Source organism: Homo sapiens, chromosome 14, assembly GCF_000001405.40.
Source record: "Homo sapiens chromosome 14, GRCh38.p14 Primary Assembly".
Taxonomy (NCBI): Eukaryota; Metazoa; Chordata; class Mammalia; order Primates; family Hominidae; genus Homo; species Homo sapiens.
This window is the reverse complement of record NC_000014.9, coordinates 65,610,886-65,636,773: the sequence shown is the minus strand read 5'-3', so window position 1 is coordinate 65,636,773 and position 25,888 is coordinate 65,610,886. Positions and strand designations below refer to the sequence as shown.

The 25,888-nt window shown below is 38.7% G+C and overlaps 1 protein-coding gene across 13 annotated transcripts in view; it reads right to left on the bottom strand.

Moving 5' to 3' along the window:
* Positions 1-25,888, bottom strand: part of FUT8 (fucosyltransferase 8) — a 387,280-nt gene that overhangs the window by 107,348 nt on the left and 254,044 nt on the right. For 7 of the 13 annotated variants that reach the window (NR_038167.1, XM_047431181.1, NM_004480.4 and 4 more), the window contains 3 exons: positions 20,681-20,796; positions 20,401-20,563; positions 7,168-7,282 (listed from right to left, as the gene is read on the bottom strand). Coding sequence is in view for 12 of the 13 variants with exons in the window: in XM_047431181.1 (XP_047287137.1) it covers positions 7,168-7,282; positions 20,401-20,563; positions 20,681-20,796 (394 nt within the window). In the remaining variant the exon portion in view is untranslated. Of the gene's footprint in view, positions 1-7,167; positions 7,283-19,582; positions 19,685-20,400; positions 20,564-20,680; positions 20,797-25,888 lie in introns of all 13 variants that reach the window. The other 6 variants (XM_047431179.1, XM_047431177.1, XM_017021138.2 and 3 more) reach the window with 1 other exon arrangement.

The window sequence follows — 25,888 nt, the reverse complement described above, 5'->3', positions numbered from 1 at the left end:
TGAAATTGCTCCTCTCAAGTAAAACCAATATACAGGTTAATAAAATTGAGACCAAACTTCTTCTCACAACTGAGCTATATATGACTGTAAACTAGAAATCAACTCCAACTGGAACCTTTAAAACCATGCAAACACATGGAAATTAAATTACCTGCTCCTGAATGATCACTGGGTCAAAAACAAAATCAACATGGAAATTTAAAAATTCTTTGAACTGAATGACAGTAACGACAAATCCTACCATAACCTCTGGGATATGGCAAAGGTGGTGCTAAGAGGAAAGTTCATAGCCCTAAATGCCTACATCACAAAGACTGAAAGAGTACAAACTGACATTCTGAGGTCACACCTCAAGGAACTAGAGAAACAAGAACAAACCAAACCCAAACCCAGCAGAAGAAAGGAAATAACCAAAATCAGAGCAAAACTAAATGAAATGGAAACAAACAAAAAAAAAATACAAAAGATAAATGAAACAAAAAGCAGGTTCTTTGAACAGATAAATAAAATTGATAGATCATTGGCAAGATTAGCCAAGAAAAGAAGAGAAAAAATCCAAATAACCTCAATAAGAAACAAAACAGGAGATACTACAACTGACACCACAGAAATACAAAAGATCATTCAAGGCTACTATGAGCACCTTTATGCACATAAACTAGAAAACCTAGAGGAGATGGATAAATTCCTGGAAAAATACAACCCTCCTAGCTTAAATCAGGAAGAATTAGATACCCTGAACAGAACAATAACAAGCAACAAGATTGAAATGGTAATTAAAAAGTTACCAACAAAAAAAAAAAGTCCAGGACCAAATGGATTCACAGCTGAATTCTACCAGACATTTAAAGGAAGAATTGGTACCAATCCTTTCGATACTAGTCCACAAGACAGAGAAAGAGGGAACCCTCCCTAATTCATTCTATGAAGCCAGCATCACCCTAATACCAAAACCAGGAAAGGACATTAACTGAAAAAGAAAACTACAGACCAGTATCTCTGATGAAAATAGACACTAAAATCCTTAACAAAATACTAGCTAGCCAAATCCAACAACATATCAAAAAGATAATCCACCATGTTCAAGTGGGTTTCATACCAGGGATGCAGGGATGGTTTAATATACGCAAGTCAATAAATGTCATACACCACATAAAAAGAATTGAAAACAAAAATTGCATGACCATTTCAATAGATGCAGAAAAAGCACTCAACAAAATCCAGCATCGCTTTATGACTAAAATTCTCAGCAAAATTGGCATACAAGGGACATACCTCAGTGTAATAAAAGCTATGACAAACCCACAGCCAACATAATACTAAATGGGGAAAAGTTGAAAGCATTCCCTGTGAGAATTAGAATAAGACAAGGATGCCCGCTCTCACCACTCCTCTTTGGCACAGTACTGGAAGTCCTAGCCAGAGCAATCAGACAAGAGAAAGAAAGGGCATCCAAATCGGTAAAGAGGAAGTCAAACCGTCACTGTTTGCTGACGATATGATCATTTACCTCAAAAACCCTAAAGATTCTTTCAAAAAGCTGCTAGAACTGAGGAAGAATTCAGTAGAGTTTACGGAAACAACATTAACATACACAAATCAGTAGCTCTTCTCTATACACCAACAGCGACCAAGCAGAGACTCAATTCAAGAACTCAACCCCTTTTATAAAAGCCGCAAAAAATAAAAATAAAATAAAATACTTAGGAATATACCTAACCGAGGAGGCAAAAGACCTCTACAAGGAGAACTACAAAATAGTGCTGAAAGAAATCATAGATGACACAAACAAATGGAAACGCATCCCATGTTCATGGATGGGCAGAATCAACATTGTGAAAATGACCATACTGCCAAATGCAATCTACAAATTCAATGCAATCCCCATCAAAATACCGCCATCATTCTTCACAGAATTAGAAAAAACAATTCTAAAATTCATATGGAACCAAAAAAGAGTCCGCATAGTCAAAGCAAGACTAAGCAAAAAGAATAAATCTGGAGGCATCACACTACCTGATTTCAAATTATACTATAAAGCCATAGTCACCAAAATGGCATGGTACTGGTATAAAAATAGGCACATAGACCAATGCAACAGAATAGAGAACTCAGAAATTTATTTACAGCCAAAAACTTACAGCCAACTGATCTTCAACAAAGCAAACAAGTGGGGAAAGGACACCCTTTTCTTTTTTTTTTTTTTTTTTTTAATTGATCATTCTTGGGTGTTTCTCGCAGAGGGGGATTTGGCAGGGTCATAGGACAATAGTGGAGGGAAGGTCCACAGATAAACAAGTGAACAAAGGTCTCTGGTTTTCCTAGGCAGAGGACCCTGCAGCCTTCCGCAGTGTTTGTGTCCCTGGATACTTGAGATTAGGGAGTGGTGATGACTCTTAACGAGCATGTTGCCTTCAAGCATCTGTTTAACAAAGCACATCTTGCACCGCCCTTAATCCATTTAACGCTGAGTGGACACAGCACATGTTTCAGAGAGCACAGGGTTGGGGGTAAGGTCATAGATCAACAGGATCCCAAGGCAGAAGAATTTTTCTTAGTACAGAACAAAATGAAAAGTCTCCCATGTCTACTTCTTTCTACACAGACACGGCAACCATCCGATTTCTCAATCTTTTCCCCACCTTTCCCCCCTTTCTATTCCACAAAACCGCCATTGTCATCATGGCCCGTTCTCAATGAGCTGTTGGGTACACCTCCCAGACCGGGTGGTGGCCGGGCAGAGGGGCTCCTCACTTCCCAGTAGCGGTGGCCGGGCAGAGGCGCCCCTCACCTCCCGGATGGGGCGGCTAGCCGGGCAGGGGCTGACCCCCCACCTCCCTCCCGGACGGGGCAGCTGGCCGGGCGGGGGCTGACCCCCACCTCCCTCCTGGACAGGGCAGCTGGCCGAGTGGGGGCTGACCCCCCACCTCCCTCCCGGACAGGGTGGCTGCCGGGCGGAGACGCTCCTCACTTCTCAGACGGGGTGGCTGCCGGGCGGAGGGGCTCCTCACTTCTCAGACGGGGCGGCTGCCTGGCAGAGGGTCTCCTCACTTCTCAGATGGGGCAGCCGGGCAGAGACGCTCCTCACCTCCCAGACGGGGTCGTGGCCGGGCAGAGGCGCTCCTCACATCCCAGACGGGGCGGCGGGGCAGAGGCGCTCCCCACATCTCAGACGATGGGCGGCCGGGCAGAGACGCTCCTCACTTCCTAGATGGGATGGTGGCCGGGAAGAGGCGCTCCTCACTTCCTAGATGGGATGGCGGCTGGGCAGAGACGCTCCTCACTTTCCAGACTGGGCAGCCAGGCAGAGGGGCTCCTCACATCCCAGACGGGGTGGCGGCCAGGCAGAGGCTGCAATCTCGGCACTTTGGGAGGCCAAGGCAGGCGGCTGGGAGGTGGAGGTTGTAGCGAGCCGAGATCACGCCACTGCACTCCAGCCTGGGCACCACTGAGCACTGAGTGAACGAGACTCCGTCTGCAATCCAGGCACCTCAGGAGGCCGAGGCTGGCGGATCACTCGCGGTTAGGAGCTGGAGACCAGCCCGGCCAACACAGCGAAACCCCGTCTCCACCAAAAAAATACGAAAACCAGTCAGGCGTGGCGGCGCGCGCCTGCAATCGCAGGCACTCGGCAGGCTGAGGCAGGAGAATCAGGCAGGGAGGTTGCAGTGAGCCGAGATGGCAGCAGTACAGTCCAGCTTCGGCTCAGCATCAGAGGGAGACCGTGGAAAGAGAGGGAGAGGGAGACCCTGGGGAGACGGGGGGGGGGAGGGGAGAGGGGAGAGGGGAGAGCAAAGGACACCCTTTTCAACAAATGGTGCCGGGATAATTGGCTAGCCACATGTAGGAGAATGAAACTGAATCCTCATCTCTCACCTTATACAAAAATCAACTCAAGATGGAATAAGGACTTAAATCTGAGACCTGAAACTATATAAATTCTAGAAGATAACATTGGAAGAACCCTTCTAGACACTGGCATAGCCAAGGATTTCATAATCAAGAACCCAAAAGCAAATGCAATAAAAACAAAGATAAATAGCTCAGAGGTAATTAAACTAAAGAGTTTTTGCACAGCAAAAGGAACAGTCAGCAGAGTAAACACACAACCCACAGAGCAGGAGAAAATCTTTGCAAAGTCTGCATCTGACAAAGGACTAATACACAGAATCTACAAAGAACTCAAACCAGTAAGAAAAAAAAAATCCCACCAAAAAGTGGGCTAAGGCTATGAATAGACAATTCTCAAAAGACGATATACAAATGGCCAACAAACATGAAAAAATGCTCAACATCACTAATGATCAGGGAAACGTAAATCAAAACCACAGTGCAATACCACCTTACTCCTGCAAGAATGGCTATTATCAAAAAATCAAAAAACAGTAGATGTTTGGCCTGGATGCGGTGATCAGAGAACACTTCTACACTGCTGGTGGGAATGTAACTAGCACAGCCACTAGGGAAAACAGTGTGGAGATTCTTAAAGAACTAAAAGTAGAGCTACCATTTGATCCAGCAATCCCACTACTGGGTATCTACCCAGTAAAAGGAGTCGTTACATGAAAAAGATACTTGCACATGCATGTTTATAGCAGCACAGTTCGCAAATGCAAAATTGTGGAACCAACCCAAATGCCCGTCAATCAACGAGTGAATAAAGAAATTGTGGCATATGTATATGTATGTGTATATGTATATGTATATGCAGAGTGGAATACTATTTGGCCATAAAAAGGAATGAATTAACGACATTTGCAGCGACTTCCATGAGATTGGAGACTATTATTCTGAGTGAAGTAACTCAGGAATAGAAAACCAAATACCATATGTTCTCACTGATATGTGGGAGCTAAGCTAATGAGGACACAAAGGCATAAGAATGATACAATGAACTTTGGGGACTTGGAGGGACGGGTGGGAGGGGAGCGAGCGATGAAAGACTACAAATAGGGTGCAGTGTATACTGCTCAGGTGATGGGCACACAGAAATCTCACCAAGCACCACTAAAGAACATGTAATCAAATACCACCTGTACTCCAACAACCTATGAAAAAAAGAAAAATATTTTTCCAAAGCACTTTTTTTCTACTGAGATTGTCCCTATCTCCTTGAAAATTAAAAAAAAAAATCACCTTTTCCTTCCAATGGGGGGAAAAAGGAAAAGCATGAAAGTAAAGTTAAATAGCAATATCTGAAACTGAAGGTAAGGTCCAAGTAAAGTGCTAGGTTTTGCTATAGTTTAAAAGATTTAAAAAGCCAATGTAGCTTTAAATTATTAGCATGATTTGCAAATGAAATTCTCTAATACGGAACCACAAAAATCAGCATATAGAGGATCAAATTAGTACTACAGGTGAAAGCACTTGGCCACCCACAAACCAAGAGGAAAAAAAAAAGGAAACTAAAACAGGTGGCAGGTACTTGTTACAGTTTAGGTAGCTGAACTATCACTAGATCATAGTTTAGAACTATCACCAGATATAGTTGGTGAAAATTTAACGAATAAGAGGAAATGGAGGAAGCTCAGAAACCACAGTTATTTCCATTTTAAATAAGGATGATGGTTCTGCACCACCAGCTGTTTATAGTTCACTGAGTGAGGTTCTAGTTGATAGGAGATAATTACCTCTTCCCTACAGGAGGTGAAGTGTTTCTCATTCTGCAGACACCTCTGATGAATGGCCATGTGGGTATGAGACCAAGATAGCATGCCAAGATCAGTTTGGTTTTTAATGATCTCTTTAAACACTTGATTTTCTATTTTTTCCTATTTAAGTGTAGAAAAATGTGCACCTTAAAATATACAGAACCATATCACTGGCTGTCATTTTGCTTTTATACAATACTTTAATTTTACAGGGAAAGTAGAGCGTACACAGTATGCCATCCACAGCATTAGAAAAGGATGAGGGTGGAGGATGTTCCAAGGTCATTTCAACTTCAAACATTTTGAGATTTGAAGATTCTACTGACTCATTGTTTTCCCCTGAAAACTATTCTGTCCCTCAGCACCTTATCAGATAATGATGTCCCCATTATCCCAGCCATTTCAGTTCTTTCATCTACTTGGAAAGGCCTATCAATTTTATCTTCCCAATCTCTCTCAAATTTGTCTCTTCACTTCCAAAGCAAACTGCCACATACCTTAATACTTCTTACCTGCACTATGGTCCTCTTATCTTAAATGGTCTCCCTGCTTCTAGTCTCTTCAAATAATCAAGTTCAACTAAAATACTAGTTTCAGATTAATATCACTTAAGTACCACTCTCATACCACTTTTGTATGTAAAACATTTCAAAAGCAGGTTGTGACTCCAAAATAGAAAAATGCTTATGGCATATTAAGCAGAAAAACAAAATCAAAAATAAATTATTTTCTTACATATATGTAAGACGGTGTGTACATATTAATAAGAACTAGAAAAGAACACAAAAAACAAAGTGAAATTAATTTTAAAGGGTCTGAGACTTGATGTTTACCAATACTTTCTATTTGTTATAATAACATTTATAAAACAAATAAGTAAAATCTTTCAGTGACCCCTTACTGCCTATGTACCATAAACCTTAACCTCTGTAATCTGTTTCCAAGCCTACCTTTCCAACTTATTCTCCATCCCTCCTTTCACACAACCTAAAATTCCAGACAAACTGAACTGCCACACTTATCATATGGGTTCCTGTACTGTTCTTTCCCAGTTACGAGCCACTGCTTAGCTGATAACCTCCAGCTGGTACATTCTTTTCCTTCATTTCTGTGTGTCCAAATCCTATTTAACTATCTTTTACAGTTTACTTCAAACAATACATTCTCTACAAGACTATCCCTGATGTCTCCTTACTCAAAACTCCAATAAGCATTTCATCTATTTCTCTCCTATAAAATGTAAGATGTTATATTTGTATTGTATTGTGTGTGTGTGTGTGTGTGTGTGTGTGTACGTGTGTAAGAAGTAGCTCCCTTTAGGACAGGGTCTTTGTTTTAGCCATCTTTGTATTCCACTCAAGGCATAACACAGTGTCTTTCTGAATAAATATGTAAAATGTGTGAGTACTGATTTTCAAGGGCCAGGAAGACTAAAAACAACTGAAATTATTACTCTTAGTTATATTATGATCCTTCTTTTTTTCACTCAAATTTATTCTTAACCCAACCTTCTTACCTGAAGATATGTTATTCTCCGCTGAACCAGTTCTGTCAGATCTTTGGCCTCTTTTTCCCGCCAATCACCTGCTCCATCTGTCTGACTGAGGTAGTATAGATCCGTCATTATAGACCTGTTAAAACAAACAACAATGGAGATCGAACTTGTCTGTACTGCTTCACTGGATTACACAAAGTCTTAAGAAGAATGCCAGATTCCTCATAAAGATTGATGCTCGCATTGACACTGGTACTCATCTTTTATTTTCTATCAAGGTTGTGCAATTCAAAAATTAGTCTCTTAAAATCCAATAGTCATTCCTATAGTAAATTTTCACTGTTGAGAAAATATACTTTTTTTGTTCAAGCTAGTCAGCTGCACTTGTTTCTCAACACAGACAAAGCACTACAAAGATGTGGAGGAAAGTGAATACGCAAAGCAAACAAATGAGTAAATTAACATAGAGAAAGAAGTTGACGTTAGTATTAGTACCTCTTGGTTCTCTCTACTATCATTTCATGCCCCCTTTTAATTTTTCTCTTCATATTTAAACACTCTGAGTGACTGGAAAAAGATCAGAGGAAAATTTTTACACAACTCTTAACAGTATAAACCAAGGGTCAGCAAATTTTTTCATTAACGGGCCAGACAGTAAATATTTTAGTCTCTACAGATCTCTAAGATCCTTTGCCTTTGTAGCAGAAAGCTGCCATAGATAATATGCAAATGAATAGGTGTGGCTGTGTTTGAATAAAACTTTATTTATAAAAACAGGCAATGAGCCAGATTTGGTCTCTGGGCCATAATTTGCTGAGTCCTGGTCTAAACTAATAAAATGATTATTTAGCATCAGTAATTCCCATTCTGTGTAGCATCAGTAATTTCAATTACAACATGCTGGATTACCTGCAGAGTAAAGTAAAATCTCCAGTAAACTAAAAAGAGAAACTTTAGGGCTGCTACAAATGGTTTTATTTATATTGCATTAAATAAAAATTATGACTTGCATTTAGCAAGAAAGAAAAGTAAAAAGCAAGAGTCTCTGTTTGTCTAACATCCCCTACAAATCTGTCAGCAAATTTATAGCTAATTTCTAATTTTTCACATATCACCACCAGCACTTTTACCAACTGAGACACCATCTTCTCTCACCTGGATTACAACAACCTCCTAACAAGGTCTCCCTGCTTCCACCATTGCCTACATCTAAAGTCTGTTCTCAATATATCAGCTAGATCCTGTTACAACATCAACAAATAATGTTACTACTTTGTTCTTAACATGAATTGGCTCCTCAGCTCAGAGTCAAAGCCAAAATTACTACTTTGACCTAAAAGACCCCACCCAATATGGCTCACTTTGATCTCATCTCCCACTACCATCCTTCTTGATTTCTCTATTTCAGTCACACTGGTCTTGTTGCTAACCCCTGACACTGCCAGGTATATTCCTACTCCAGAGCTTTTCTATTTGATCCTCCCTGCCCTGGAATGCTCTTTTCTCAGATATCTATTCACATGGCTCATCTAAATGACCTTGAAATCTTTGCTCTAATGTCACCATCTTCATAAGGTTTTCCCAGATTATCCCACTTAAAAATCCAACACTCCCGCCTATCACCCTCAACCCTTGGTTTTCCCTCTCCTCCTGTTTGAGTAGGTAGCTAGGCAGACTTAAGAGGGCAGAAGAAGGCACCCCCTTAACCTCCAAGCAATGTCAGGCGACCATCAGGTGATGGTCAGGCAGTTGTTAAAGTATCTCTCTAAAATAATTTAACTAGTCACAGCTGGTGCCAGGGAACGGCAGTCTCCTAAATAGATAGAAAACAACTGAAGCTGGTCATCAGCAGCTTCCTGATAAGTTTTCAAGAGTTGTGTGAGTTGGCTCAAACGCGTACTAAGAGGCAAAATGGCAGACTTTAACTGTTATATGACCTTCCTCTAGGAACACTCAACTGGTAAGGAAAAAAAGCCTCAAATGAGCATGTGCACAACTTCAGTAAACACACTGCATATGCGATCCCTCCCAAGTGCTGGCAGGCCATTGCTCATGCAGACAGCCTGCCCCAAGGAAAAATCAGGTAAGAAGAAATGCAAACCCCGGAACCATAGCAATATATACAGGCCCAAGTCAATGGTCAGACAGCACACTTGACCCTCTCAAGTCGCCCGCTTGGCCTCTTACAAGTGTACTTTACTTCCTTTCATTCCTGCTCTAAAACATTTTAATAAACTCTCATGCCTGTTCTAAAACTTGCCTTGATCTCTCACTCTGCCTTATGTTCCCCTGGCCAAATTATTTCCTCCAAGGAAGCAAGAATCGAGCTGCTGCAGGCCCGTATGGATTCACTGCTGCTAACACTCCTTCCCTGCTTATTTTTTTTTTCTAAGCAGTTATCATTTTCCAATATACAATATTACTTACTTCTTATCTTTCTGCCCTACTAGAATTTAAGCTCCAAAAGAATGAACTTTTTTTTGGTTGCTTCTTTTATTTTTTTGTTTTTTGTTATTTAAAATCAGCATGTGGAACAGTGCATGTCACAGACAAAATATTCGATAAATATCTTTAGATGAATGAAAAAGTAGCAAAAGAAAAACCTTCAAGAGTTTATATAATGAGATAACGGTGATAATTTTTATCTTTTACAAATCCAGTTTGATGGTAGACAGGTTTGGGGAATAATCCTTACCCAGGTGTAGCTCCAGCTTCATCCCTTCTCAACACTTTGTATTAACTCCTCTGGCATGCTTAAGATTATGGATTATTTGCTTATGAAAATTATAAAGTCAGAAATGTATTTATATTGTCAGAAAAATTACACATCTAGAAATCACTTACAATGACTGTATTAACTAAAAACATAAAGCATTAGCTGGAGATTCCAAGAGTACTTAGAGAAAACTGATGTATTACAATAAATAAAAAAGAACAACAATAAATAGGTACACCTATTCTAAGTGCTTTACATTATTTCATTTAATCTCACAATAATCTTACAAACTAGGTAAGAAATGGCAGGCACTGAGAGGTTAAATAATTTGCTCAAAGTCACAAACCTCAGAAATGTCAGAGTAGGAAATCAAACCCAAGCAATGAATTTTAAAGTCCAGGCTTCTAATTACTACACTAACAAATATCAAAGTAGGAGGTCCAGAGCACAATAATGTGTCCTCTCCTCAATGTAAATATCCAAAAATCAGAAAGTCTGAATCAGAGGAGAGAGCTTTGGGAGCCAGACATACCAATTTCTCAATTTTGGTTCTATCTCCTACTAATTTTGTGTCCTAGGAAAATTATTTTGACATCTCTGAGACAAAGTATCAAAAGACCTTCTCTAAAGCTCTTTAAAAAATACACACAAAATAGTAATACATGTGGTAGCCGCTATTTTTTTTTTTTAATGCTAGAGGTCCTCAGAGAGTTGTTTCTGAGCTTTTACACTGTGTCTGAAGAGTACCTACTAATAATTCTACTACCAAGAGGAAGGAGCCATTAGATGTGGGTAACAGTAACACGTGGTATTGATAATCAATTATAAAAATGATCCAATATTGAGTTCCATATAACACCCTGAAGAAGGGGGATTGATCAATGAGAAGGAATCACTTAAGAGATGGTGAAATATGCCCTCAACAACTGTGATTTGCTTGTGACACAGTCTTAGTACTCTTTTATTCCTGATTCTTAACTAGATGCTAAATTATTTAGCAAAAATGCAATGGCAGCCCACAGGAAAGTCTTATTTACTATCACAGAAAGCCATTAGAAGTACACATGATTAACAGAGAATACGTGATAATAGCCCCTTTTGAATAAAGTGAAACTATTAATTCAATTAAAAATTAAAAATCTTAGCCACCATTTAGACTATTCATCCTAAATTAATAGTGGAACAACTTTGAACGATGCTTTGGAACAACAGTTCCATTTGTGAAGCACTTTAGACATTTGTTTCATGTGTCAACATTCATCACACACAGGACACTTTGCAGCTTATCTACTTCCATTTTCACCCTTTTAAAACAGGCAAGAGGCCAATATGTGATGCCTTGTCCATTTTCTTATTTGTTATTCTCAGCTAGGATTCAAAACATTTTCTTTTCATGAAAGAGACTTTGGCTGCAAAAACCAAACCTACAATGCAGAAATTAACCTGAAGTCTTTAGACTAGGCAAAGTTTCAACTTCAAAGTTTTTTCAGATTATAAAACTGAGTCCTCTATGGACTATTATGTAGACTACAGTATTTTTTTATAGTTACTGAGGGGGAAAGTCACTATCTGTATGAAATTGTGAGTTGCTCATGGAAACACAAAAGTCTTTAACTATAATAGGGCTATAGGGCTCGGCTAAAACTTCATTTAAAACATATTCTCAGTTTCATAAGCCTCTTTCCCATCACCCTCATCACACTCATTATTCTTTATATTTCATAGGTTTCATCATAATAGAATGTGGTCATTTGTTTTTTCCTACCTATCAAATAGGAGTAATCACAAAACTTGTTGCAAGTCTCAACTTTACATTTATTTATTTATTTATTTATTTATTTATTTATGACAGAGTTTCACTCTTGTTGCCCAGGCTGAAGTGCAGTCACACAATCTCAGCTCACTGCAACCTCCGCCTCCCAGGTTCAAGTGATTCTCCTGCCTCAGCCTCCCAAATAGCTGGGATTACAGGCATGCACCACCACACCCGGCTAATTTTTTCTGTTTATAGTATTGACAGGGTTTCACCATGTTGGTCAGGCTTGTCTTGAACTCCTGACCTCAGGTGACTGGCCTCCCAAAGTGCTAGGATTACAGGTGTGAGCCACTGCGCAGGCGCAAGTCTCAGTTTTAAATAACAGTATCGTGCTGGAGATGTCATACAATGGAATAACCAGTTTATCAGCAAATGTCTGTTGAAGGAAAAAAGGAAATTCAATATGCTCTCAGTTTTACGTCAAATGTGTCACTACACACATGCACATGGGTGCACGAATGCACAGGAACAGATACAGAAACAAAAAGCATTACATTTCATTGACAATCATCATATAGCCTCAAGGAGGTAAAAACTGCATTAGGTCTAATTTAGAGAGAAGAGTGCCTTGAAATATAAGCATTAGCATGGTTTATGCTTTCTTGTCATAGGAATCAAGACATTCCTTTACCATTGTGAATGAAAGCTGATCTCTACTTTTTTTAATAAATTAGTTTATGTCAATGTTTTTACCAAGTTTACATCAGTACTAAGTCTTGGCAATTAATTATTCACATTCATCTGTCTCTACCTAGAAAGCAGAATAACCAAGCAACTAGAAGACCAAACATCAAATAAAAAAAAAAAAAAAGAGTACACTAATGTTTTGTGATAATGCAGTTAGGGTATCAATATAAGTTACTGTAACTTCATGATCCACTAAAATTAAGCTTGTTTTTAAAATCTTTTGTTTCTCGGCCTCTCTGTTGGAGACCATGTAAGCAAGACAATTAAGTCCAGGATACAACCTTAAATTCAAACTAGTTCTTTACTGATTCAATTATATTTGAAAGTTATCATCCTGCAGTATTTATTTTTTGGTCAAAGACAAGAAGATAATCAAATCAGCAAGGGAACCATAGTGACTCAAAACCATTCTGCAGAAGCCCTGGGTTTTCAGTAACTCTACCCTGAAACCAGATCTCCTAGAAGAGTCCCAGAAAGCAGGGAATCTGGCTGTTGTGGTTTTGACTACGAACATATCAAGAAATCTAATAAGTGGGCATACTAAAGACCTAGTATGAGACCAGGTCAAGGTTTGGGAAATAACAAAGCTAGGCAAGGTACCAGCAAAATAGTGCTGGCCATTTGAGGATACAATAAAGTTGCCTGAAGACACCGAGTAGAATATAACTTGTTGTTGTTGTTATTGTTTTTTGAGACAGAGTCTCTCTCTGTCGCCCAAGCTAGAGTGCAGTGGCACGATCTCAGCTCACTGCAACCTCCGCCTCCTGGGTTGAAGCAATTCTCCTGTGTTAGTTTCCCAAGTAGCTGGGATTACAGGCATGAGCTACATGCCTGACGAGCTTTTTTTGTATTTGTAGAGATGGGATTTCACCATGTTGGCCAGGTTGGTCTCAAACTCCCAGCCTCATGTGATCCACCCTCCTCGGTCTCCCCAAAGTGCTAGGATTACAGGCATGAGCCACCGCGCCCCGCCAAGTAGAACAGAATTTATGACTCTGAAAGCAAGCCACCTATGACAGGTATTAAAACCTCTATTTCAAAAATTGGTTATGTTTTATGTTCCTTATATTTTCTGCTAATTTCTCTAGTTTTCTATTTCAATAGTCATAAAACTATTAAAAAAAAAAGACTTCTAGTCTGCCTCTATGCCACTGAGGAACCAAACACAAAGAGGGCTTTTTGTTTACGCCTGATTCAAAATGTTGAAGAGAGAAGTTTGGTCGGGCGTGGTGGCTCACGCCTATAATCCCAGCATTTTGGGAAGCTAAGGCAGAAGGATCACTTGAGCACAGGAGTTCAAGACCGAGTTGGGCACCATGGCAAGTCCCCCTCTCTACAAAAAATAAAAAATCTAGCTGGCTGCAGGGACACACGCCTATAGTCCCAGCTACTCGGGAGGCTGAGGCAGGAGGATCACTTTAGCCCAGGTCGTTTTTGCACCACTGTGCTCCAGCCTGGGTGACAGAGAGAGACACTGCCTCAAAAAAAAAAAAAAAAACAGAGAAGCTCCCCCTAAGGGCCAGCACAGAGATGGAATCCAGGCAAGAAGGTGAAGGAATTAACACTTACGGGGGTAAATGTGACTAAGATTTACTCTCAAAGTCAAATCCATGGGCAAATCTGCATCATGGGCAAGAAAAATTACTTGAGTTTTGTCCAAAGCTGCTTTTACTTCGGTTTGCTCCTGCAGCAAAAATAAGCAATGCTAAGGATAAAAATGTGACCAGGAGACAGGCAAGAAAACAAAGCTCCTTATTGCCTCCCTTATCTCAAGGAGGAACTTTAGGATGCCACCATCTTGACAACTGACACAGGTGGGGAAAACTCCAGAAGGATGACAACAAAAATAGCTTATACTATCATATATAAGACAACAATTATGTTACTTTGGTGAGTGATGTTCACTAGGCTTACATTTAGTTTCCAGGCCTTAACATTTTTCCTATTGAGTCTTTCAATAATCTGCCTTTATCTGTGCCAGCTCTGCAGGGTCTAAGAGTTAAGTTTTCCTAATGTATTAATAGGTCTGACCAGAGCCTACTAGAATCTATAATGTGTCACGCACTAGGTAAAGTATTTTATATATTTTCCTTCATGTAATCATCACAATGCTGTGCTATAGGAATTATATCCCCGTACGTAGAAGAGAAAAAGCTCAGAAAAGCTAAGTATTTAGCAATTAAGAGAACGGATTTTGGAGTAAAACCGTTCTGTTAACTTAGCCTGTGTTAAGCCACCTAATTTCTCTAGAACTGAATATAACTTCAGTTATAAAAATGGAACTAAGCTAGGCGCAGTGGCTGACGCCTGTAATCCCAGCACTTTGAGAGGCTGGAGTAGATGGATCACCTGAAGTCAGAAGTTTGAGACCAGCCTGGCCAACATGGTGAAATCCCGTCTCTACTAAAAATATGAAAATTAGCCAGGCATGGTGGCGTGTGCCTGTAGTCCCAGCTACCCGGAGGCTGGGGCACGAGAATTGCTTGAACCTGGGAGGCGGAGGTTGCAGTGAGCCAAGATCGTGCCACTGCACTTCTGCCTGGATGACACAGCGAGACTCCATCTCAAAAACAAAAAGGAACAACTTTGGGAGGCCAAGGTGGGCGGATCACCTGAGATCAGGAGTTCAAGACCAGCCTGGCCAACATGGAGAAACCCTGTCTCTACTAAAAATACAAAATTAGCTGGGTGTAGTGGCAGGCGACTGTAATCCCAGCTACTCAGGAGGCTGAGACAGGATAATCGCTTGAACTCGGGAGGCAGAGGTTGCAGCGAGCTGAGATCGTGCCATTGCACTCCAGCCTGGGCAACAAGAGCGAAACTCCATCTTAAATAAAAAAAAAGAGGAACAAATAGGCCAGGCGTGGTGGCTCACGCCTGTCATCCTAGCATCCTAGCACAAACGGGCCAAGGCGGGCAGATCACAAGGTCAAGAGATCGAAACTATTCTGGCCAACATGGTGAAACCCTGTCTCTACTAAAAATACAAAAATCAGCTGGGCATGGTGGCGTGTGCCTGTAGTTCCAGATACTCAGGAGGCTGAGGCAGGAGAATCGCTTGAATCCGGGAGGCAGAGCTTGCAGTGAGCCGAGATCACACCACTGCACTCCAGCCTGGCAACAGAGCGAGACTCTGTCTCAGAAAACAAAACAAAAAAAAAAACAGGAACAAATAATGCATACCTTGTAGGACTACTGTGCTGATAAAGTAACATAATGAATGCAGAACCTTTATCATAGTGACTGGCATGTAAGAAATCCTTAGTAAGTGATTATTTTTAATCTAAAATCATTCTTAAGTTTGGAAATCACACCCAAAAGATGTGTGGTCGTAGGAAGCAAAACAGAATTAGAACTACTAGATGAAAAACACCCTTTTCCACCTGGAGATTCTTCTTCTAATGCAAACTTTATTTTAGGAGACACTGTTCCATTACAGGCGATGAAGAATCATTATCTGGCTGATAGAGACTAAGTGATGAGCAGAATAAGGATGACTTCATAAAGAAATGTATCCCTTTGCACATGAATATTAAGATGAATGTTCTAGCACCACTTGAAAATAAGCTTGGATTCCTTAGAAGACAATCATACAAAAACATTTTGTTGAAACAAATCCGAAATTCAAGAAAGAATATCCACATCCCAGCTTAATATAAGTCTCAATCAAATCACATCTCAGAGAACTTAGTAAGATCTTCCTTCCTCCCTTCCTCTCTCTGTCTCTCTCTCTGTTTTTGTGTATATGAAATAAAACACAAAGAATAGAAGGTTTGAAGGTTCACCAAACTTAACTTTTCAAGAGTGGGAATATCAATTCTTGGACCTTCCAAACAGAATGAAAATACAAGCTATTGGGCAACAACAACTATGATCATAAACTTAAAAAAAATCTGTAAGCTATTCTATCAATCTTTCCCAGTGTACCCCTTGAGTCACAGTCATTTCTTTTGTTACATAATCCCCCACAATGTCTTTTTGTACATTAGCAAATCAGCATAATTAACATAAGTATCATTCACTATTTGGAGAACACAATTTAGTCTAAGCACAGCTGCCCTATATATTACTGATAATGAGAAATGCAAACTAGGTAAGGGAGATGAGATTGCTACTTTAACAGATTGTTTTTCAATAGTTTCAGTCAACACAGTTGAAAAATGGCTCATCTCCTGTACTTTAGTTTTATAATTGTTATAAATTACCATAAACAGAACTTGGTAAAAAAAATAATAAAATAAATGAATAAATTTAAAAAAAATATGGTAATTTTAAAAGCAGAAAGAAGCAGCTTTGGTACCCTTTTCATAAACTGGTATTTGGCAATATGAAGATGATAAAAAGAATCAGAGCAACAGTGATTAAGTTAAACATGTCTCTGCATCAGCCTGAAAGGTTGATAAGACAGACTCCATGATATGCTTAGAGGTTGAGGTACACATCTAAACTGCCATAAATCGAAGCACTGAACCTACAATACAAGATAAATGGTAAAACCACAATGGCAAAAATACTAACTCTAAACCGCTTAATTCTCTCTACTGCAAAGAGGTAGGCTAGGGTCAATTCATGATCAATGATATCAAAAGCTACAAGTATATTTAACTGTATTACTGGGAAGAATGGTCATATGCAATCACTAGAATGAAATCATCATTTAGAAATCTAGTGATGCTAAAACTTGATATCAATATAGCAGATAATAATTAATATGCTACTCTAAATTTATTATACCATCAACACCTCTAAATTCTTAAAACAGCCTGTAAAAGCTTCTAAAAGCCCAAGAATATTACTAATTACTACCAGTTGATTACCCAACTGTGGTTGCAGGCAGAGATTAGGCTCTACTAGTTATTAGCTATCAAGGCCAATCAGGTAAATAAATAGTATTTTGCTAAAAATCTCAGGTGAGTTGAATCTTAGATCAAACTTATGATATTTGGCCCCCAGGCTGCATTTTAATGCCTGGTAATGCAAGTGATGAACAACAGGAGCCAGATTCCAGGAGAGGAAACATGGTGCCCTGACTACTAGGAAACAGCTTCAAGTGGGCAACAAAGGAGGAGTCTTACCCCCACAGCTCACTGATGGGGTCACTAACCTACAGAGAAATGCGATTTCTACCAGGAAACAACACAGGCATCGTGGTGAACTCACAAAGAGAAACAGGGAGTCTGTAGTTGTAGTTCTCAAAAACCAGCAACTTTAGCTGCCCTTAGTATTACTACTACTATTATGATCTGTTTTTCACCACAGAACACTTCTGACACCAAATATGTGCATTTTCCACATCAGATAATTCTCCAAATCTCTGTGGACACCAACTAGGTAGTGACACAAACTACCCAGAATTAGCCCAGACCTCTCAGTTCCATAATACTACACCCCACTTCACATGCCATCGCAAGTACAAAGTGGCCAGGGTACCCACACTCTGTCAAATCAGGGGCTCCCACAATGAACTACTCAAGTTCAATAATCTGCTAATAATCTTCTAACCCAGGTAGAAGGCTGCAAAACCCTAATAGAGCCCAAGACTCAGGAGGGCTCTTTTAAGAAGGCAGGCCCATACCCAGGTGGCAGCCTCACTGACCATGGTCCCAGCTACAGACCTAGAAACCTATACACTATCATTTGAGCCAATGTAAAAATAAAATGGACTTTTGTATCATATAAAAATTACCAGAGGCAAACCTAAAAGTTTGTTTTGATTTTAATTCTTATACTTAAGGATCTTGAAAATGGTCAGTAAAAGGGTATATTCTACATAATAAAAGTCCTTTCTATTTGTACGTCCGTCAGTTTAAGGGTTATTTCTCTAATGTTTGATTGTGTTTTGCTCATTATTTGTATTACTGCATTCTAATCTGGCTTCCTGGAGTTAAATTACTACCCTATGAAGTTATGTCCCAGATTCATTGTCATTTCTGTTTAAGACAGGAAAATAAACTGACTTGGGTACCTTTACTTACCATTTTTGTTTTCAATGAACTACCATTATTTAACATACTAAATGGCACTGTAAGGAATCATAATTCAACAACAACAACAACAAAATGGAAAACTGATTTATATCAGTTTCTCAGGGGCCCATTTCTTATATTCACTTTTCATTTGTACATATGGTCACAAAACATATGCGAGTTATATAAACAAATTATATTATTATTTACAAAATAATTCCTTAAAGAATTATTTCAATTCAGCTGGACATGGTAGCCCAGGCCTATAATCCCAGCTACACAGGAGGCTGACGAGGGAGGATCACTGGAGACCAGGAGTTCAAGACTGGCCTGGGTAACATAGAAAGACCTCCACATCTAAAAAATAAATAAATAAATATATACATACATATATATATATATATATATATATATATATATATATATATATATGAATTAATTTTTAAAAACACTGGAAAATTAAATTCTCAAGTTATTTGATTACTCAAATCTTTTTTTTGAGACAGAGTCTTGCTCTGTTGCCCAGGCTGGAGTACAGTGGCATGATCTCTGCTCACCACAACCTCTGCCTCCCAGGTTCAAGTGATCCTTGGGCCTCAGCCTCCCAAGTAGCTGGGATCACAGGCATGTGCCACCATGCATGGCTGATTTTTGTATTTTTGGTAGAGACGGGGTTTCACCATGTTGGCCAGGCTGGTCTCAAACTCCTAGCTTCAAGAGATCTCTTATCTCAGCCTCCCAAAGTGCTGGGATTACAGGCATGAGCCACCACGCCCAGCCCAATTACTCAAATCTTAAAATTAAACATTCCATCAGAAGTCAGTGGCCAAAATTCTCCTTTACATACAGCATAGTCTACCCAAGTCAAATCCTCTTCAGATGTGAATTGGCCTAAAAAACTGTGATAAGCAAAGAACACAAGCACAAAATTCCATTTAAGAGATGCTTCGTGCCTAGAATCAGCTTTAGGGTAGAGAAATATTAATGACAGAATTAGTCAGCATTTGGTTTAGTGGTCTAAGTATGGCCTGACTGCAAGTTGGGCTAAATATATCAAAAAGTCTGTCCAATGTGTGGCCTAATAATTCACTGCCCCTTGAAATCCATGCTATCATATTTCTGTAGATTCATTAATGCTAAAATGATTCCAATAGACAGATTTTTATTTATAATTTCACCTAAAACAACCAAGCAATTTTTCAAAATCATTATAATATTGCTGCTGATGTTAATAAATATGAAATCTCTTACTTGTATGGGGTAATTCTTTTCCTCTTCACAGTAGTAGGTTGTGCTAATACAACAATTTTTCTTTTATTGTTCACTAATGAGACAGTAATTGCCATCAGAATCCTACTGGAAACATAGACTTTTAAATATAACAGGCCTAAAGACAGGTTTCACTGTATTTATAATGATTTTCAGATACATTTTGTTCTGCATGAATACAACAGCACCAAAATGTTTTCTTTTCTGTGGAAGATAAACTTCATATTATTTAGCAACGTGTGCATAGGAGAAACAAATTTAACCAGGCAGATCTCAGGTACCTCTTTCCAGCAACTAATGAAAGAACAATGAACAGAATGCTCCTTTTTACTTAAAGAAAAAAAAAATCCTGTTAACCTTTCATTAGAAATCCTTAAAAAAATGCTATTTTAAAGTTTTTAATGTTTGAATTAGAAATGTAACCATCGGACTCACTATGAGTTCCAATGTACCGCAATGCAAAACTGCACACTCCACTTCAAATACTGATTATATATAAAGAACATTTATAGAAAGATATTTTAATGTATTGTTGGCTGGCACCACTACCTTCAGAATTTATTTAGAATGTAAAGATTTCTAGAAATACATTTTAATTAATACTTTCTGGTGGTATATTTTGGTTGATGAACTGCACTTGGCAATTACCATCCTTTGGGACCTCAGGTACTCTTCGCCTCTTAAATATTGTAGGTGCTATTAATATTTACCACTCAACAGATGGATTAACAAGTCTGTTTCTCATTCTTAGATTATAATCTTTTCTAAAGCCCAAATAAAATGTGAAAGGAGAATAGTACCTTTCATGATGTCCTAAATCCAAAAGAAATTCATCTGCATGTCTTTGGAGTTCATTTCCTTCTAAGTTCTTTAATTTCTTCAATTCACTCTGTAGGAAAAACCAGAGCTCTTTAGCTCCATTTTCAATCCTCCTCCTCAGGATTTCATGATCCTTCCCCAGACCTGTAGTCAAAGAATAGAGAGTTGTAGCATTTCCAACATTTTGATAAAAGGAAACTTTCAATTATCTGTGCTAAAGCCCATATACTGAGGAGGGGAAAACACTGTATAATCACCTACCATTTCTGGTCTGTTTCTTGTAATTTTCAATCTGTTCTTTGGCCTTAACAAGCTGCTCTTCTAAAACGCGTACTCTTCCTATAGCTGGCCCCTGATCAATAGGGCCTTCTGGTATCCTGTAGTTTAGGGAAGATAATGTAAACATTTAGCTTTCAAACTGTGCAACAAAATACAAGCTCACTTTCTAAAACATTTATACTGTAAACTCCATAAGTTGTTGAACCATATAGCACAAAAGTAGTACCAAATGGAATTTTCTCTTCAAAGGTATAGGATTAACCAGTGAAATGGACAATGAAATGATAATAACGAAAAATAGAAAATATTAATCTACTTCAGAAATCTATGATCTTCTAGGAGTTAACAAACCTCTAGAGCTGTTTCCTAAAAATCTTTCATCCCCAGAGTACCATGATCAGTGGCAAAGAGGTCAATTATTCATTAGCATTGAGAGTAACAAAAGTGAAGGAAAAAGTAAAGAAAAGGCTTAAAGGGAATAACGAAGCATATCTGAACATGTGTCTAAGGACATGCTCAAACATCAAATATAATGTATTTCTAAATTAATTATAATATCAGACTATGTAAATCTGTCTTTCAATTCATGACATTAGACTACTAAGCATTGGTCTTATATAGAAAAAAGAAAGACAAGAGTAGAAGATAAAACATATTAGAAAAAAATTGGGCCAGGTGTAGCCACTCATGCCTATAATCCCAGCACTTTGGGAGGCCCAGGTAGGAGGATTACTTGAGCCCAGGAGTTCATGGCCAGCCTGGGCAACACAGCAATCCCCCATCATTACAAAAATGAAAACATTAGCTGGGCACATGGTGGTGTGTGCCTGCAGTCCCAGCTACTCAGGAAGCTAAGGAAGGAGGATGGCTTGAACCATCCTTGAACCATAGTTCAAGATTACAATGAACTATGATCATGTCACTGCATTCTAGTGTAGGCAGCAGAGTGAAACCCTGTCTCGAAAAAATAAAAATAAAAAATTGAAGATCATTGTTCTATTCATTTCTATCAGCAACAAAAACAATCAGTCAATAATATAAAAGCTGGAACACAGAACAGCAATCCAAGATCTCTTACTTATATTATCAACCTCTCTGTTCAACTTAATTCCAAACTGTGCTTGTTCCTGTTTTGTTTTTATGTGACTTATGGCAGTATACTGTACTCCACTTTGATGTACATAATACAATTTCGTGGTAGGCTAAACAAAGGTCTCCCAAAGATATCCATAACCTAATCATGAAATCTGTGAATATTACTCTTTATGGCAAAAGAAACTCTGAATATATAATTAAGGATTTTGAGATTGGATTATCTAGGTGAGCCATTTTGTAATAACAAGTGTCTTCATAAGAGGAAGGTAGAAGAAGATTTTACTACAGAAGAGGAAAAGGTTATGTGGCTGTTAGCTTTGAAGATGGAAGAAGCAACCATGAGCAAGGAAGACATTTTTAGAAACTGGAAAAGGCAAACGAACGAACAAACAAAAATACCCCAGATGCTCTCCTAGAGCTTCTCTAGGGAATCCAGCCCTCCTGACATCTTGGTTTCAGTGCAGTGAAACTCAATTCAGATCTCTGGCCTCCAAAACTCTTAAGAGAATAAATTTATGTTGTTTTAAGCCATAAAGTTTGTGGTATTTGTCAAAGCAGCAATAGGAAATTAATACGTACATATATTGATCCTTTTACAAAATTGTCCTAAAGATTAAATAGCTGATTTTTCTTTCAAAGTCTATTTAAATGAGGAAATGTCTGTAAAAGTACTTAGCAGTGTCTGGCAATAAATTTTATGAAGGCTACTATTATATCTGAGCTTTGTCATTTTAGAGATGAGCTGTAATCTCAAAAAGTCTGGGCTATCTATTCTTACCATCATGACCAGTTTAAGGGAACTTAAGTTTTAAATTATAGTTGGCAGAACTTAAATTCAGATGTCAACACAGTCTTTTTTTTTTTTTTTTGACACAGTCTCGATTTGTCACCCAGGCTGGAGTACAGTGATGGGATCTTGGCTTGCCACAACCACTGCCTCCCAGATTCAAATGATTCTCGTGCCTCGGCCTCCTGAGCAGATGGGATTACGGGAATGCACCACCATCCCTGGCTAATTTTTTTACATTTTTAGTAGAGACGGGGTTTCATTGGGTTGGCCAGGCTGGTCTAAAACTCCTGGCCTCAAGTGATCCGCCCACCTCAACCTCCCAAAGTGCTGAATTACAGGTATGAGCCACGGCGCCCAGCCAACATAGCCTTTTGAGGCAAACACTCTGATACGAAAGGTTTTTTATAGCTTCTCTAACATTTTCTATATAACCTGATAAAGCCAAATTAACTGTCAATTACCTACACTACTTCAGAACACGTTTAATAAAGTAGCTATTGTTACAGCTATACCAAAGTAATTGGAGACATTTTATAATTTCCTGTAAAATTGTACGCATTAACATTGAACAGGAGCATAAAAAGTAACTATCCTCCAATCATGAGTGTCCAAGGCTACAGAATATGAATGAAAAAGCCTTCATTTGTATAAGCACAAAGCGAATAATAAAAAATGAATACAGTAGTTAGGTGCACAATTACCCAATTTATGAGCACGCATACATTCACAAATGAGGCATGTCCTGGTATATAGTTTTTTAAAGTTATGTTTCTAAGACTTGGCTCTTAATCTCTTTGTGAATTAGGTGGCTGGTTTCTAGGAAACAATTTGAAAATAGAATAAAACTTCAATCTCTTGGGATTTATTTTGGCAGCAATATACTATAGGACAGGAATGTCCTTTTTCAGAACATATGTTAGTGATAGAAAAATTGACAATAGAAAGATTATGTCTAGGTTCTCCTTTTTATCTCTTTCTTCAAATATTGGTGGAATAAACATCAGAGGCAAAACAGCCATGAAAAAAATAGCATGTGATCTTTTCAGTAGCTTTCCACAAAGAGTTCCAATCTAATTCTAATAAAACATAATGGAATTAGTAATCCATATTGCCTAATAATCTAATCCAACTGTGAAAAAAAAAACTGGAAAAGAAAATTACTGGAAAAATCACTCTAAAAAAAAAATACAGGAGAACTATTCTTTCCAAACTCCATCCAGAAAAGAGTCAATATGCACGAACAGTCTCTTTTCTGAATACTTAGGGAACAGAATGCTTTCTTACATTCACCATGCCAAAGATACAGATATATAAGACTTCCACTTCTAGCCAAGACATTTACCATCCTGCCTGAAACAACTCAAAATCCAGGTTAGATGTATTAAACAATGATCTAATAAAATTGCAATCAGGCAACAAAGGGCAGTGATCACCAGAGAAGGAAAACAAATGATGATAGCCCTGTGACTGTCCCAGCTTACTGCATTCAGAGAGTTTCCAGACCACAGTGTATGGAGGGGAAATGCAGATGGAGCCAGTACATTCACTGAGTTGAAGAAATGGAGCTAAGAGTCTAAAAAGACCAAGACAGAGTTTGAATAAGAGAGAACTGTAGAGGACAGAGAATTCCAGAAATCTGCAAAGGTACCATTTTGGAATTAGCAGAGTACTCATCAGCACACACACATAAGGAACTACTCAGGCTGGGGAAAGAACTCTCTAAAAGGATTAGAGGAAGTAGTACCTGGCATTCATACAGATTAGGTAGAAACAGTTCCTGATCCTATCAGCCAGACTAGAAAACCGTAATTCATGGGATGCTGGGTAAAATGCTCAGAAGGATTTGGCCTCAATAGCAGGAAAATGTGCCCCAGACCAAACATTGCTTAGGTCCCACTTAACAATTATTAAAAGACAAAATAGGATCAAATTATTTTAAAATAACATAACTACATCCCAGAACAAAATTTAAGAATATTTGTAAATTATACAAGACCTTCTAGTAACAAACAAGGTAAAATTCATGTCTGGAATCCACAAAAGTTACCAGGCTTGCAAAAAAACAAGAAAAGACAACCCATAAAGAAGAGTGAAATCAATCTATCAAAACCAACTCAAAACTGACACAGATGTTAGAATCACCATAGAAATAACAGTTATTATGACTGTATTTCATATGTTCAAAAGTTAGAGACAGGGAAGATATAAAAAAGATGTTAAAATTTTAATAGGCCAGGTGCGGTGGCTCACGCCTGTAATCCCAGCACTTTGGGAGGCTGAGGCAGGCAGATCACCTGAGGTCAGGAGTTCAAGACCAGCCTGGCCAACATGGTGAAATACTGTCTCTATGAAAAATACAAAAATTAGCCAGGCATGGTGGCAGACGTCTGTAATCCCAGCTACTCAGGAGGCTGAGGCAGGAGAACTGCTTGAACCCAAGAGGCAGAGGTTGCAGTGAGTCGAGATCACGCCTTTGAACTCCAGCCGGGGTGGCAGAGTGAGACTCCATCTCAGAAAAAAGAAAGAAAGAAAGAAAAAATTTTAATAGATACCCAAGTTGAACTACTACAGATGAAAACTATAATGTCTGAAATGAAAAATATAAAGAATGAGATTTACTGCAGATTATATATTGTAGCGTCTACCCTAAGAAACTAAGAAAAAAAGAGCAAATGAAACTCCAATTAAGTGGAAGAAACGAAGTAATAAAGATCAGAGAGACGATCAATGAAATGGAGAAAAAGAAAAATAGATAAAAACCAATGAAAACTAAAATCTGGTTCTTTAAAAAAAAAAGAAAGAAAATCAATTAAACTGGCAGACTTTTTCCTAATAAATATTTTCGGTTTTATAGGCCAACAAGCAAAATCAAGGCTATTACTTGGGGGGTGTGTGTGTGTGTGTGTGTGTGTGTGTGTGTGTGTGTGTGTGTGTGTGTGTGTGTGTGTGTGTGTGTGTGTGTGTGTGCGCGCGCGCGCGCGCGCGCGCGCGCGTGTGTGTGTGTGTATGACACTTAAAATGTAACAACTTAAAAATGGAAAATCATTCTTAGCTTGCTGGCCATGAAAAAAAGAGGTGGTTGGTAGGATGTGACCCATGAGCCATAGTTTGCCAACCCCTATTGTAGCCACACTGGGCAAAAAAACCTAGAGGGACTACTTCTTTCTATAAAGTTAGTATTATCTGGATATCAAACCAGAGAAAGATATAGTAAGAAAAAAAATTACAGAACAGTATCTCTCATGAACACCAATATAAAAATTATAAAAAAATTTAGCAAACCAAACCCAACCATATGTAATGTA